We start from the raw sequence: 16514 nt of genomic DNA, 5'->3' as shown, positions 1-16514 counted from the left end.
ATATATCTTCAGCAAATATTTTCTCCCAGTCCGTGTCTTGTCTTCTCATTCTCTCGACAATGTCTTATACAGAGTAAAAAAAAAAAACAAAAAAACCTAAACTAATTTTAATGAAGTCCAGTCCAGTTTATTATTTATTTCATGGATTGTGCCTTTGGTGTCCTATAAAAAGTACAATACTGATAGATGCAGGAGGCATATAAGGGTGCACAGGGCCTTGTCTGGGCATGCCTGCAACAGACTGGGGGCCCGCATGCATGCACTGGGAGAATGGGGTGGAGACACCAGGGATTCACACCTTATGCCGGGGATGGAGTCTGCCTCTTCAGCTTGTGTATGGTGGCCTGGTATTCAGTCTGTGACGTGGAGGCCTGTTGGCAGGACCACCTCTTTCTTTGCTGAGAGCTTTCTTTTTGCCTACTCCTCACCCTTCAGTGTGCCTGTGTGCCTAATTTTTCCTGGTTGTGAGATAAGAACCCAGATTTTAGCTGAACTAAGGAGCAAAAATTCTGTATCATTTTGGTGGCCTGTTTGGAACTATGAGACATGGTGAGTAAAATGTGGACAAAAAAATTTCTCTCCCTTTCATTTCTGAGCCTTGTTGGACTTCTTCTGAGGGTAGAGGAAACTCTCCACCCCGACCCCCGACCCCTTGTCGCTCTTGGGGGTCAGGAATGTTGGTCTCGGTCCAACCCAGCCTTTTCTATGGCATTTTGCTTCTTTTTATTCGGGACTGTAATGTCACCTATCTTTTCTTTTACAATATTGGGGGTGTTCCACTCCCACCCCAATGGCCGCAGGTGCACATGTGGGACAAATGGGTGAACAGCGGCTCCCTGCTCCCCTTCCCTCCTGGCTGAGGTGCATGGCTGAGTCCACCGCATGTGCATGCCATGTCCAGTGGCCATGCAGGGCAGGGATGAGCCACCACCACCGCCCAGCCCAAGGTGGCCTTGGGGGCCCGGGCCTTGTGTGGCCATCTGGACAGCATTTCCCGCTAAGTACCCACAGAGTCTTCCCTTCCCCCAACCGAGGGCTCCAGCTTGGTCCAAGACCCAGGGAAGAAACAGCAATTAAAAGTTTCTCTTGGCTTGGTGTGGTGGCTCACACCTGTAATCCCAGCATTTTGGGAGGCTGAGGCAGGTGGATCACCTGAGGTCAGGAGTTCAAGACCAGCTTGGTCAACCTGGTGAAACCCCATCTCTACTAAAAATACAAAAAATTAGCTGTGCATGGTGGGCAGGCGCCTGTAATCCCAGCCACCTGGGAGTCTGAGGCAGGAGAATTGCTTGAACCTGGGAGGCAGAGGTTGCAGTGAGCCAAGATTGCGCCATTGCACTCCAGCCTGGGCAACAAGAGTGAAACTGTCTCAAAAAAAACAATTCTCTCCCTGTTGGAGAAACCCATTTGCATAAGAATAAGAGGTTCTTCCTTCAGGCATCTTTCCAGCCCTGCATTTAAGCTGTTGTTGTTTTTTTTTCTTTTCTCCACCCCGTCAGAGTTAACTTTTATGTAAGTTTTTTTTTTTTCCTTTTAGAAGATGTTTCACCAGGTCAGGACCCCAATTCCTTTTCCTTGTTGGAGGAGTACTCAATTCCACAGCTTCACCTTAGCATTCAGCTTATGATAAGGAGTCCATGCAACCCCCTGAGGCAGGTCTTTTGTCCCAAACTCAATTCCAAGCTTCGAGTTGAAGCCCAGGGAAAGAAAACTGTATCTGAGGGATTCAGAGGCAGACGATGACGGAAGTTAAAAGGCACAGCGCAGGTGAGCATGACTAATTGCTGCTGATTAAGCCAAGCTTCTCATTTCATGGATAAAGGTCATGCTAGTATCCATGGCATAAATGAGATCTAGGGAACTCAAAAGCTACTGACAGCAGGGGACATAGGACATACATGGGTAAGAGAGGATAATCCTATCCCCTAGGCCCCACTGTTAACATGGGTGAAAGCTGCTTTGACACTCATGGGCAGCACCCGTGTGCTGGTGACCACCCGGTGTTGTGGTCACCGGGACTCAGGGATATAAATAAAGAAAGAGGGATGCCTCACTTTCTCTACCTCATGTACCCCAGGTATTCACTAGGAAGAGAAGGGAATCAGGGATGCCTCTCTCCCCTCTTTCTAGATGCGTAGCCATTCATTTTCAGTCTGCATCTCTTTCAAATGCATCCTGAGTCCTGGGGCTCTTTTGAAAAAATGCTGCCTTTTTCCTCCTCTGTCCTTTCTTCACAGATGGGTGGTTGTGTCCCCATGCTGCAGGGCACTCCCCTCAGATGTATCCTCCAAACTGGGAAAAGTTAATTTCCCAAGCCTTAAACTGGTTGGCTTGGGATTGAGCTTGAGGGGAGGGAAGCCAGAAGCCTGACGTGCTGGAAAAAGGATAAGAGTTTTTTTAAACCAGTTGGGCTTTTGGCCTCCCTGTCCCTGTGCAAACCAGTAAAGAGAATGTTTAGGATCACTGTTTATATTCTCTTTAAAGTTTTAATTATGAAAAAGTATTTGTGAAGTTGGCCTTAAGCTGTAGCCAATCTGGTATGCCTTGCATGTCTCTCTGTATGATTCTGTCAGAAAGAGGGGTACCTTAGGATGCGATGTGGGCCTGGGACTCCATAGGCCCACTGTTCAACCCAGCCTAGCAAACTGGTCAGTGGCAAACTTTGCTGCGGGTCTCCATCTTGTTTTACTTCCTTGAAAGCGTGACCTGTAACCACGTGGCAGTGCTTTCTTTTAGCCTCTGCCATTTTACAATGGTGGCCTGGGTTCAATCCTGGCTTAGGTAATGGGTCCTTTCTGGTTTGATTCTTGATTCTCTTTCTGGTTTGATTGTTGATTCTCTCCCCCTTCATGAACCACCTTCAATTTTCCTTTCTCTGAGCACCTGGGAGGTTACCTTTGGTAAAATTCAAAAGCCAGAAATATTGGCTGCTTGGCATGGGTAAAATCAGGTAATAAGGGATTTAAAAGGATTTTCTTAAAGAGCACTCAGCTTAATTAAAAGTGGATATCCAAGTTATAGGTATATTTAAAAGGCCTTTATGTTTTTCTCCTCTTGGATCTTATTTTGCTGGAAAAAGGTTGTTTTCTCAGTTGACTGAATTCTTTTTCTCCATTTTTTCTTGCCACCCTTAATGCACACATGAGAGGCCCTAAGATAATTTCTGATGGCCTGGTGAAAACAGAAAAGGTGCCACTAATTCCATTTTTAGAGAGACCTCTGTTTTCCTCATGGAGCTCCAGGAATTAGAGGCAGATGGATTCCTTTCAAAATCTGCTTTTGTCTTCCAGCTATACCTGTTTATTAGGCCCTAGGAAGTGCATGCTTTCCTAGCCTTGCTCTTAAAGGGCCCCACTTAGAGGCCAATAGTCCAATAAGGAGATTGGTGAACAGAAAATCTTTTTTTTTTTTTTTGAGACGGAGTTGCGCTCTGTCACCCAGGCTGGAGTGCAATGGCACGATCTTGGCTCACTGCAACCTCTGCCTCCCAGGTTCAAGCTATTCTCCTGTCTCAGCCTCCTGAGTAGCTGGGACTACAGGTGCAAGCCACCACGTCCGGCTAATTTTTGTATTTTTAGTAGAGATGGGTTTCACCATATTGGTCAGGCTGGTCTCAAACTCCTGACCTCAGGTGATTCACCCCCATCAGCCTCCCAAAGTGCTAGGATGACAGCCACTGCGCCTGGCTGGTAAACAGAAAATCTTATAACTACTGAATCTGCTTCTGTTTGTCTGTGTGGTTATGTATGTGTTGTGTGTGATGTCTATAAAAAAGAGAGCTCTAATTAATTGGCCTAAAGGAAAATAAGTGCTTAGATCAAATATTTTTGAAGGAAAAATAAAAGCTATAATGCCTTTTAGTTCATGTGACATTAATCTTTGAGTAATAAAAACAGTCTTGGCTGGGCATGGTGGCTCACGCCTGTAATCCCAGCACTTTGGGAGGCCGAGGCGAGCAGATCACAAGGTTAGGAGATTGAGACCATCCTGGCTAACACGGTGAAACCCTGTCTCTACTAAAAATACAAAAAATTAGCCAGGAGTGGTGGCAGGCACCTGTAGTCCCAGCTACTCTGGAGGCTGAGGCAGGAGAATGGCGTGAACCTGGGAGGCGGAGCTTGCAGTGAGCCAAGATCACACCACTGCACTCCAACCTGGGTGGCAGAGCGAGACTCTGTCTCAAAAAAAAAAAAGTCTTAAAGATTATTGGTAAAATGCAAATGTAGCTAAAATGGAAATAGGTGGTCTAAATTCTGTGGGTCAGATAGTAGATTTGCTAAATGTTTTAAAGTTGTACACTGTTTCTTTGGCCTTTGAGAACTTGCCTACTTTACAACATGGTAAGGCCTGGGGACATAGGCCTTAATCTTAGTAAATAATCATTAATCATATAATCTTAGTAAAATATAAGAAGGCATGGAAATCTAAATTTTTGCCTATGGTAAAAGGATTGTTTTAAATTAGATAAAATAAAGCTAAAGATTTAAGAACGTTATGGAAGGATTGTAAAAATTAATCTTGCAAAAGAAATTCTGTGTGTAAACATTGACTAAATTCAATAGTGTATTATATTGTTTTTCTCTAAATTCAGCATTGAAATGAAAGCACAACAAGTTTCCCTTAAGGCAGTAATCTGCTCTTTAGCAAAAATTGTAAAGGGTTATGAAAGGTTATAAGAATCTTACCTAATGGTCAAACTGGTTAAGATCAGATAGAATTGTCTGTAAGTTTTCATTAGAAAATTGGGGTTGACATCAATAGTAAACTAATGTAAGGGCAAAATTTGGCTCTCTCTCCCATGTACAAGATTTTTGTGTAATAGTAAAGGATAATGAAAGATTTCTGTTTGCCTTGTGGATAGGCTTCCAAAGAAAATAAAGAGAAAGCAGGAGACAAACTGTTTGGAAAGCTAAGTTTTCCCTCTTAATGAGTAAAGGTTTTTGCTTTGTTTTAAATTTTTTGAGTCATCATTTTGGCAAAATAAATAACTTATGGTAATACAGAATTCTATTTCATAGCATTAACAGGCTTCCCAAAATCAAATTTCAGCCTCAAGATTGTCTTTCCTGACCCCTAGCTCTTGGATGGTACAGAGGACCCCTGGAGCATCCAAAAGAGAGGTAAGCAGGATTATTTGACATGTTTAGGTATGTGTGATTGCCAATATGATGTTTAATCTTCTTTGGATTGTACTTTAGGAAATAATATTAATATTTGTTTCAGAATTGTCTGAGATTTCTAAAATTCTAATGACTGAGTATATGCTATTGATCACAATTAAGGTTATTATGTTAAATTATTATAAACCACAGAGATAACCAGATTTCTTTGTCAATTGTGTTTTGAGAGTAACTACCCTGGACATTTTGTTATTCGCAGACAATTGTTGTCTTGTTTTGATCCTCTTCAAAACATGGTTTATAATCAGCTATAGAATCTTGACAGGTGCTCTCAAATGCAGGTTTCTGATAACTTCGGGGATTGTGACAATGGAATTAAAAAAAGTACAGGACTCATGAAGAACTGAAGTGTTCATGAATGTCAAGCAAAGCAAGAATAAACTGAATGGACTGACCTAACAGAAAACTGAAGTAATATTTTTTGGCTTTTGCTTGGAACATTGCTGATCCTTGTTTTGTTTTTCAGAGTCAAGGATATGTATTTTGAGCTATTTATGGGCTTTAATAATTGAGTAAGGTATACTCCTGTGAACAAAATTTGGAGCATATTTGTTTTTTTCTCTGACTGGCTTCTTCAGGATTTGGAAACTTGTCATGAGTGTTCTTGACTTAAGGCAGTATAGTTGTTTGCATCAGTGCAATAACAATCCATTTCCTTTTGCAACAGGATGCAATGGGAGAAACTGGTTGTTTTGCCAAGGCTTTGACTGGAAGGGTATGCTTCCCTTTAAGGAATCAAGCTTGACTTGTAGAGCCGATAAAAGCCCCTTGGGAAAACTGCCTCATACCTTGTCTACACAGTCCCTGTACAGGGTTCCTAATCTATGGTGAGTAAAGAATGTCACTTTTTAACAGGTCCCGGAACCCCATGTTCTTGGGACCTCAAGAAGAGTGGAGTTTACCCAACTCATAGGTATTTGAGGGTACAAACCCATAGCTGGGCTTGGCTTTCAAAAGTCCTATCTGAGATTCCTTGTGGAATAGAATTCCATCAAAGCCTATGTCAGCTGAGGCAGAGGAATCGCTTGAACCCGGGAGGCAGAGGTTGCAGTGAGCCGAGATCGTGCCACTGCATTCCAGCCTGGGCGACAAGAGCGAAACTCTGTCTCAAAAAAAAAAAAAAAAAAAAAAAAAAAAGGCCTATGTAAAAACAATTATTCTTGCTGCACTTTATGCAAGTAATCAAGCCAAGTATTAAGACTAAAGTCTATTTTGCAAACAGCTCAGGTTTATCATGATTTATTTTTAACAAATTGATTGGAGAGAGAGAAATTATGTTTTGAAATTTATCATACATTTGTCATTAAATTCTAAACTCATTAGTTGTTTTTAAGTTTTTGCCTACATTTTAGACTAACCCTACTTGTTCCTGTGAACCAACCAGCAATCTCCGGCTGCAGCTCAGAAGGAACAAAAGGGATGGCTAATGTAAAAATCTAGATCAATATTTTAATTCTGAGTAATTATCCTGCAAATCCTACCAGGTGATGGGAGTAAATAGGTGCTCATAACCTGGAGGTTTCTTTTTGGGAAAATGAGCCCAAGGGAGCTCACCAAATCCAAGCCCCATGCACCCAAATCTTAGCAGGCATAACTGTAGCCACTAGTTATCTGCGCGTGTTGGAAGTCTGGGGATTTTTGAGCTGTCCTCACCCCTTTTTGTTTCGTTTTGCTACATGTTTTCTAATAAGCCAGTTTGTTTCTTCTTACCTTAGGCCACTGAACTCCAAACGATCATGTAATCGGAACCTTAAATGGTAGCCCCCTTTTACCGAGGACCCTTACTTAGATAGGCCTCCGAGGGAGATATGATTGCCGTCTTCCTAAAACAGTGCCCTCTGTCGGCAGGAAGCAGTTCAGATCGTTCTTTGTCCTTATCCTTATTCTAATGGCAGTTGGATGTACTTCTTTAGAGGGGGGAAATGATAGATGCAGAAGGCGGTTAAGGGAACCTGTCTGGGCATGCCCACAACAGACTGGGGGGCCCGCTTGTGCGGGGTGGAGCCACTGGGGATTTGCACCTTATGCAGGGGGAGGAGCCTGGCCTCTTCAGCTCATGAAGGGTGCAGCTCCAGAACTCGAAGCCCTGCTGCTTTGGTACGGTCTCCAGGCGCGCGAGGGTCCAGCCTTGTCAGCCGCGCGCCGCTGGCTCCGGGGGCGCCGGGCCCGGCTCCCGCCCCGCTCTCGCCCGGTCGCTGCCGCCGGGGGCGTCTGCAGTGCTCCCGTCTAAGCGAACGCCTGCACAGCGCGGGGGCCGCTGTCGGGCCTGGGCTCCAAGCCGCCACCCAAGATTTCTACTTTAATCTCTAGGTTGAGTCCATTCTGTCATCCAATAGATTTTGCAGACTTCAGTGTTCTCCCAGTTCAGTGAGGTCTTAGGATACCTGCCTTTCACCTGTGTATTCACTTGACTGAATATCATGTCCAGAGGTCGAACTTTCTTTCCCTCAGCCTTGTGTAGCTATTGCTACGTCCTCTTCTGTTAACAGCCTATCTTTTCCCTCATGTAGTTAGTTGTTTTGTAAGGAAACATGAAGAAATTTTTGTTCTTAAATTCAGTAACTTAACCAGAATATGTGTTTATGTTTATGTTGATAATCTGTATACTTTTTCTACTGCAGATTTCATTATTTCTAACATTTATGCAAGTTATTTTAAGAAAATAATATCTATGAATACATTTTCTGTTTCATTGTCCTCCTTTTCTACAATCTTCTATACAATTTCTTCAATCTATTTTTTTTATTTTTTATTTTTTTTGAGAGGGAGTCTGGCTCTGTCACCCAGGCTGGTGTGCAGCGGCGTGATCTCTGCTCACTGCAACCTCTGCCTCCCGGATTCAAGCGATTCTCCTGCCTCAGCCTCCCGAGTAGCTGAGATTACAGGCATGCACCACTACGCCTGGCTAATTTTTGTATTTTTAGTAGAGACGGGGTTTCACTATGATGGCCAGGCTGGTCTTGAACTCCCAACCTCAGGTGATCTGCCCACCTCGGCCTCCCAAAGTGCTGGGATTACAGGTGTGAGCCACTACACCTGGCCTCAATCTGTTTTTCTTATTTTGCATCTGTAGTGATTGTCTTATGTCTTTCTCTCTAGGCCACTGATTTGATTTTCAGCTGTGGTTGTTTTGCCCCATGCTGTTTCTAATTTCTTTATAATTTTTAACAGTGGTGTTTTGGTTTTTAATGTTTACCTTGGTTTCATAAATCTCCCTATTCTTTTGTTTTGACTGTATAGTTCTCCATTCAGCTTTCTAGTTTAGCTAACTTTCCATTATTACAAACAACCCTGAGATTAATATCCTTGCATATGTCCTCTCATAGGCTGAGCCTGTGTAAGAAAACTCTCACATATGTACCCAGGAATGGGATTACTCAGTCACAGGGTCTATTTTACTTTATTATTCCATTTGACAAACTGTTACCAAATTGCTCTCCAGAGGGGCTGCACCAGTCTACACTCCCATTTGTAGTCCGAGACTCTGTAGTCCCAGACTCTGTAGCCCCTTATTTATGTCAATGATTGACATTATCAGACTTTCTTTTTTCCCCCCAATCTTATAGGTATAAAGTAGCATCATCTTGCTTTATTTTAAAAATTCTCCCTTTTGTTTTCACTTGTATTTCTCTCGATTAACAATGAGTTTGACATCTCTTCATATATTTTATACTCCTTTGAGTTATTTTCGTCTATGGATTGCCTGCTCATATCATTTATCAATTTTTGTATTGATTTTCCTTTTACTTGTTAATTATTGTTCCTTTGGAATACTAAAAATTAGTTCCTTATTGGTTCAAAATATTGTAAATATTTCCTTCCAACCAATTATCTGTCATTAACTTTTTCTTGTTTCCCAAAGCTGATATTGTATTTAGGTACCTTTAGACAAATACATTGTCTTGTTTGTTCCTTGCATATTTTGGCCTTCAGATTTTAAAATTAACTTGTACAAATTAAAAAATATGCACAGGGCAGGGTACAGTGGCTCACATCTGTAATCCCAGTATTTTGGGAGGCAGAGGCAGGTGAATCACCTGAGGTCAGGAGTTTGAGGCCAGCCTGGCCAACATGGTGAAACCTCATCTCTACTAAAAATACAAAAAAATTAGCCAGGTGTTGTGGTGGGTGCCTGTAATCCCAGCTACTTGGGAGGCTGAGACAGGGGAATCACTTGTACCGAGATCACGCCACTGCACTCTAGCCTGGGCAACAAAATGTGACTCTGTCTCAAAACAACCAACAACAATAACAAAAACAGAAAAATATTCTGTGATACATTTGATGCAAAATTTTTCTGGTTGGATTTATATTTTTTGGTTAATGCAAATAATTATAAAGTAGTTAATGCCTCTGTTATAATGATATATTTGCAATATACTTGTGCAAATGTATAAATATTTTATGTATAAGTATTTTTATGTTTTAAATTGTTTTATTCCATACTCCTAAAGTATTAAATAATACTGGAATTAAATACATGAATACATTTACAAATATATATAGAATCAAGTTGGAAGTTAATCTTAGAATTTGCTTTATTTATCTCACTTTGTAAATAAGAAAATAGAGACACAAAGAGGTAAATTGACCTAAGTGGATACAGGTTAATTATTGACTTCACCAATCTCATCTAACATATATGCTTATTTCTTAACTTTGGCCTGTGTATATAGTTCTGATGTCTATGATTTATTCACTGCTGAATCTTTCATTCAACTATAACACAGGAAAACATGTTTGTCAAAATAGATTTTTCAGATATTAGACAATTCTTGTTCACATTACCTTGATCATGTGTAACCTTCATTATTGGTCTTCTAGGGTAGAGATAATATTTATTCTTGATAAATTTGGCAAAATTGAGACTAGGATATGGTACTTTGGCAAAAGTGTTCTGCTATCATAACAAGTGGCATATGTCTGTAAAGCAACTGTTTTCAGAATGGACATCTCTCACTATCTGCATATTTGAGAAAGTTCAGGATACAGTTCAGAGGCGGTAAGTACTCTCTTACTTATAATATCTAATTAAAATAGTAAGATGACTGAGCAGATGCAAATATTTTGCAAAACAGATGCCACTAAAAGGCTTTGGTAAGGATGCATGTAAATATGTAAATGTTCTTTCCAAAGACTGTCCTATTTGATTAAGAAAAAGAAACACCACGATAACAATAGACTCCATTTATTTCACAAGAAACTGGCAAGCTTTGGTGACTTTTTAATGTGTCAACTTGGCTAGTCTACATTACACTTCCCAGAATTTACTGTCCTGTGTGTTGCCAGTTAGAGTGGGCGGGACATTTTTGTGCGAGATTCAGAGGGTAAAAGTGAAGAAGCAGCCATTTTATGGCCTAGACAGCTCGTTGTTTGTCTGTTGGATCACCTCCTGGCATGAGTCAGTGACCAGGCCTGCACCTGTTCTACCCTCCCCTGAAGTCAGTGTCTCCGACTCCTGGGCCAGGTGTGTGTGTTTAACACCTTGATGAAAGGCCCTTGCTTCTGCAGGGCTTGTATTTCCTTAAGGCGAGAAGCAAAAAGAAATGACATATTGGTCAGTGTGTTCTCATGGGCTCCAATTGTGCTTATGAATTTGAGACTGTCCTTGGTCTTCCTCACTTTACACCCATCTTCTTTCCCAACTGTCTACTGTATGGACTGAAGAGTTTCAGCATCAGGTGCAAAGTCTACAGCCTTACAGAGACTGCTTAACCAGCTCCCAAAGTTGATAAGGTCAAATCCCTGTACCAAGTCCCTCTATCTATCTATCTATCTATCTATCTATCTATCTATCTATCTATCTATCTAGTCATCATAATCATCTGCCTCCTAATAGTTCTTTTCTGATATATTTCTTCATTTATTTGAAGAAGTATGACTAAAATTTCCTTCTAAGCTATATGTGTTATATATAGCACATATGTATTAAAATAAAATTAAGGATTTTGAGTTTTTCACTTTGTATTTGGACCTAAACCAAGAATGACTCTTCTTCTTCTTCTTCAACTATCAGGAACATTTGATAAGGTTGATCTGACTCTTCTTAACTCTGGCTGCATTTTACATATTAATGTGTACTTTGGGCTGCAGAAAATCCTTACTAGACTGATTTAAACACTGAGGAGAAGTTATCTTCCATAGTCCTGAACTATTTTGTCTCAAGGATAACTCATCAACAATTTAATGATGTGATTGAGGACCCAGGTCCTTTCCATTTTCTACTCTGCCATCCTGAGATAGTTTTCTTCAATACAGGATGGCTGCTGCAGTTCCAAGAGGAACAAAGGCTAGAAGAAGGGGAACTTCATTTCTCAGCAGCGAAACTCTTTCCCAGAAGTCTCTACAGCAGGTTTTCCCTCACAATGCATGGGCCAGAACTACTGTGTGTGTGTGTGTGTGTGTGTGTGTGTGTGTATAAACATATACGCAATTATATATAACATATACAAATATATACACACATATATTATATATAGAGATATATATGCCAATCTATGACAAGATGAATGGAGCACAATGATCAGCTTAGGTAAATTAGGATTTACCCCTGGAGCTGGGAGTAGCTCACCCTTCCCAGAGTGAAGTGGGCAAAATAGAATAAATTGGGATTGAGACAGCAAGAATAAAAGAGAAAAATGAATGAAAGGGAAATATGCTCCTGAGAGGCCAAGTAGTGCTGCTACATAGTAGTGGATGATTTCCGTCCCTTAAATCAGACCTCTTTTTTTCTGTCTGTTTGAAATCCTTAAAAATGTACCAAGCTCTCTGATATGGTTTGCCTGTGTCCCTACCTAAATCTCATCTTGAATTGTAGCTTCCATAATCCCCATGTGTCCTGGGAGGGACTTGGTGGGAGGTAATTGAATCATAGGGGTGGGTTTTTTCTATGCTGTTCTCATGATAGTGAATAAATCTCTTGAGATTTGGTGGTTTTATAATGGGCAGATCCCCTGCATACCCTCTCTTGCCTGCTGCCATGTAAGACATGCCTTTCCTTCTCCTTCACCTTCCACCATGATAGTGAAGCCTCCCCAGCTATGTGGAACTGTGAGTCCATTAAACCTCTTTTTCTCTATAAATTACTCAGTCTCAGGTATTTCTTCATAGCAGTATGAAAAAGGACTAATACACTCTCTTTTGTTCTTTTTACACATTCTTCCTTGGCAATGCCATCTACTTTCGTGGCTTTAATTATAATGTTTCAGTAGATGCTTTCTATATCATTGCCAATGGTGACCTCTCCCAAACTCTAGAGTGCTGTTTTCAGAGGCCCATTGGACATTTTCAACTGGTTGTCTTCTGTACCTCAAACTCTGCTTAATTTTTTAGCAATCCATTTTCCTTCTTCAAAGCATTTTCCCTCACCTCAGTTTCTGTATAACCTATTTTCTGATCAGTAGAATTCCAGTTAATTATGGTTTTGCTCTGACTGCAAATTGTGAAAACAAGACACACACATACAAACAAAAATAAGACACTGCATTTCACCTATACTTTAGTAATTTAGTATTAGGGTGAATAAATATTTTATACTACTGTGATATTCAAGATTGCCCTATACTGGTCCAGAAAGAAAACGGCAAGAGTCAGAGTTTACTAGTGGCTAGCTGCTGTCAGAAAGTGAGGTCAGACTCCCTCCTAGTCTTTGCCTTGGGTCTTTCACCTCTTTGCTCCATTCCAGTGAAGTTTTCTTCTATATAGTCTGTCTTTTTGAAAGTGTCACCTCTTCTCTCACTTCCAGAATGCAGAGGATTCCAGAGTGCCTTTTCTACTTTTTAATTTTTTAAATTCCCCCAATTTGTGTGTGTCAACCATTTAGTTAACTTTTCCACTTGAAAAAATGCAGTAGAAAACCAGACACCATGTTTCACTCTCTCAGTTAATAGTCACAGTTACAGTGGCTACAACTCAGGATACAACATCACCAATGCTGCTCAGAGTCCGTTTATACTGAAATTAAGTTCTTTACATCAACACTGTCCATAACCACTGGCTAGTGTACATATGAACTAAAAATTCTAGATTTGGAGAGAAACCAATGCTGCTCTGATCGTCTGCTCTGCTTCTTCTGTTCCTCAATTCATGCTTAGAAACCTTTCATGTTACTCTTGCTTTTATCAGTTTGCTTGCCTGTGGGAGTTTGGGCCTGCTGACCCTGCCCACTGGAAGAGGCTGCTTGCTGTGCTACTTTCTGCTTTTACATTGTCCAATCAAATGTGTAGTCATATTGATGGTTCACGGTCCTGAAAAGAATGCGGAATAGCTGCTTCAGATGGGAGCTATAGTTGCTATCTGAGTTGAAGTATGTGATAAATTCTGCAGGAAACCCCTTACATAAAACTGCAACAGTAGTGAACATCTTGTTTTCACTAATCTTTTTATAATTTTGTTTCTTTGTTGCAGCCTTTAGCCCTTGCCTATTTTTAAAACTTTATATTTTTTAACTTTTATTTTTGTAGAGATAGTGTCCTGCTATGTTTCCCAGGCTGGTCTCAAACTCCTGGGCTCAAGTGATCCTCTGACCTTAGCCTCCCGAAGTGCAGAGATAACAAGCATGAGCCACCTCAACCAGTCCCTTTTCTATTTTAGTTCTAGCCACTGAAGCTATAAAATGTCAATATGAATAGTCAAATTATTTAAGGAAGTGGTTTAAATTTTAACTATGTTACCAATATTAATTTGTATTTATTTGTATTTATAATGCACTATATTATAATAAATAGTATTAATTTAAAATATGCTAGTCTTTTCTTTTTGAGACGGAGTCTTGCTCTGTCACCCAGGCTGGAGTGCAGTGGCGCAATCTCTGCTCACTACAAGCTCCGCCTCCTGGGTTCACGCCATTCTCCTGCCTCAGCCTCCTGAGTAGCTGGTAGTACAGGCGCCCGCCACTATGCCCAGCTAATTTTCTTTTGTAGTTTTAGCAGAGACGGGGTTTCACCGTGTTAGCCAGGATGGTCTGGATCTCCTGACCTCTTGATCCGCCCGCCTCGGCCTCCCAAAGTGCTGGGATTACAGGCGTGAGCCACCATGCCCGGCTGCTAATCTTTTAATTAAAAACTTTTTGTGTGTGTGGAGATGGAGGTCTCACTGTCTTGCCCAGGCTGGTCTTGACCTTTTGGCCTAAAGTGATCCTTGCATCTCAGTCTCAGGATTACAGGCCTGAACTACCATGTCCGGCCCCTAATCATTTTTCATTTTTCCAGTGAATCCTTTTCTATTTAATTTATTTTGAGTGAATTTGTATTATTTACTACCAAGTCATCAAGGTATCACCAGTATATCATTTTCACATACCACATTTAAAAAAAATTTAAGTGGTCAACTGTCAAAAGCTGCTAAGGAGTTAGTTAAAATAAGAGCAGGGAAGGTTTCAATGAATGTAGTATCACAGAATTAATTTCTGATCTTGACAAGAGAAGTCTCAGCTGAGTGGAAGAAAATTATTCCAAATGAATACTACTGAGGGAAGCATGTGAGGTGAGGAAATAGAAAGTGATACTATAGGCAACTCTTCCAAGAAATTTAATTTAGACAACATTTTCAATAAATTTAAAAACACATTTATTTTCAATAGAGACAGGAGTCTTACTATGTTGCCCAGGCTGATCTGGAACCCCTGGCCTCAAGCGGTCTTCCCACCTCAGCCTTCCAAAGTATTGAGATTACAGGTGTGAGCCACTGGACCCCGCCCCAAGAAGTTTAATGGTGAGGAGAAACAGAGAAATAGGTCATTAGCTTCAAGATCATGTGAAGTTAAGAAGGATTTCGAGGAATGAGGTGGGGGTGGGGATTGTTTTCAAGAGAAGCAGATACTTGAGGATATTTTCGGGGGATGAAAATGATCCAGTAGAGAGGGAAAAATGACAGTAGATAGTTCTGATTTTAGTTATTTAAGGAACACACAGAAGAGCAGATAATTGCAAGGATGAAGCCTTTGATAAAAGTTACAGGGGTCAAGTGTCAGAGCAGTCAGGGAGGAGCAATCATATGGGTATGATTGCTCAAAGTCTGGTTGTTTTAGGGGCTGGATATTTTTTCCCAATACCAACCCAGCTCATTACCTGAGAAAAGGAGAAGGGAGGAAGTTCAATGGAAATATTTATGTCAGAAAATGGGAAAGAAAACCCTTAGGAAGATGGCACTATCGTGACCAAATAAGTAGAAATGACTAAGCTACTAAAAGAGACTCCTTAAGATTATATTCTGTATCCTCTAAATGGACAGAGCTACTTATCTTTCAAACATATAAAGTAGCAATAACGACAATTGGTTGCTATTATTGAGCATCTTACTTATGTGCTTTTTTAATTTTACAAGGCAACTGTAAGGCTAGAATTTTTTTTTTTTTTTTTTTTTTTTGAGATGGAGTCTCGTTCTGTCACCCAGGCTGGAGTGCAGGGGCGCAATCTCGGCTCACTGGAAGCTCTGCCTCCTGGGTTCACGCCATACTCCTGCCTCAGCCTCCCAAGTAGCTGGGACTACAGCTAATTTTTTGTATTATTAGTAGAGATGGGGTTTCACTGTGTTAGCCAGGATGGTCTCAATCTCCTGACCTCGTGATTCACCCACCTCGGCCTCTCAAAGTGCTGGGATTAGAGGCATGAGCCACCATGCCTGGCCAAGGCTAGAATTTTTAAATTACTTATTAGTTTATTTTATTTTTAAAAAACATTTATTTTAAGTTCAGGGGTACATGTGCAGGTTTCTTACATAGGTAAACTTGTGTCATGGGGGTTTGTTGTACAGATTATTTCATCACCCAGGTATTAAGCTTAGTACCCATTAGTTATTTTTCCTGATCCTCTCCCTCCTCCCACCCTCCACCCTCTGCTAGGCCCCAGTTTCTGTTGTTCTCCTCTATATGTCCATGTGTCCTCATCATTTAGCCTCCACTTACAAATTAGAACATGCAGTATTTGGTTTTCTGTTCAGGGATTCAAGTTCTTCCTGATTCAGTCTTGGGAGGGTGTATATGTCCAGGAATTTATCAATTTCTTCCAGATTTTCTAGTTTATGTGCATAGAGGTGTTCATAATATTCTCTGATGGTTATTTGTATTTCTGTGGGGTCCAGTGGTAATATCCCTTTATCATTCTGATTGTGTTTATTTGAATTTTCTCTCATTTCTTCTTTATTAGTCTAGCTAGTGGTATATTTTATTATTTTTTTCAGAAGACCAGCTCCTGGATTTGTTGGTCTGTTGAATGGTTTTTGGTGTCTCTATTTCCTTTAGTTCAGCTCTGATTTTGTTATTTCTTATATTCTGTTAGCATTGGGATTTGTTTGCTCTTGGTTCTCTATTTCTTTTAGTTGGGATGTTAGGTTGTT

The 16514-nt window shown here is 40.7% G+C and overlaps 1 long non-coding RNA gene and 1 pseudogene across 1 annotated transcript, besides 1 other annotated feature; one reads left to right on the top strand and one right to left on the bottom strand.

Annotated features, from left to right (window-relative positions):
* The first annotated feature begins 1314 nt into the window (after positions 1–1314).
* Positions 1315–5940, top strand: LOC105379099 (uncharacterized). The gene is made up of 3 exons (XR_001742818.2): positions 1315–1767; positions 5050–5120; positions 5462–5940. It is a non-coding gene; the product is annotated as an uncharacterized LOC105379099 (long non-coding RNA).
* Positions 6874–7374: an enhancer, noted in NCBI's record as "H3K27ac hESC enhancer chr5:98175311-98175811 (GRCh37/hg19 assembly coordinates)". NCBI's record gives its function as "activates a minimal SCP1, AML or CMV promoter by ChIP-STARR-seq in naive and primed H9 embryonic stem cells {active_cell/tissue: H9 hESC(naive and primed)}" and the evidence as "EXISTENCE:reporter gene assay evidence [ECO:0000049][PMID:30033119]".
* Positions 13073–13601, bottom strand: CSNK1A1P3 (casein kinase 1 alpha 1 pseudogene 3; annotated as a pseudogene).

This window comes from Homo sapiens, chromosome 5, assembly GCF_000001405.40.
Source record: "Homo sapiens chromosome 5, GRCh38.p14 Primary Assembly".
Classification (NCBI taxonomy): Eukaryota; Metazoa; Chordata; class Mammalia; order Primates; family Hominidae; genus Homo; species Homo sapiens.
This window is presented reverse-complemented; position numbering and strand designations above follow the sequence as displayed.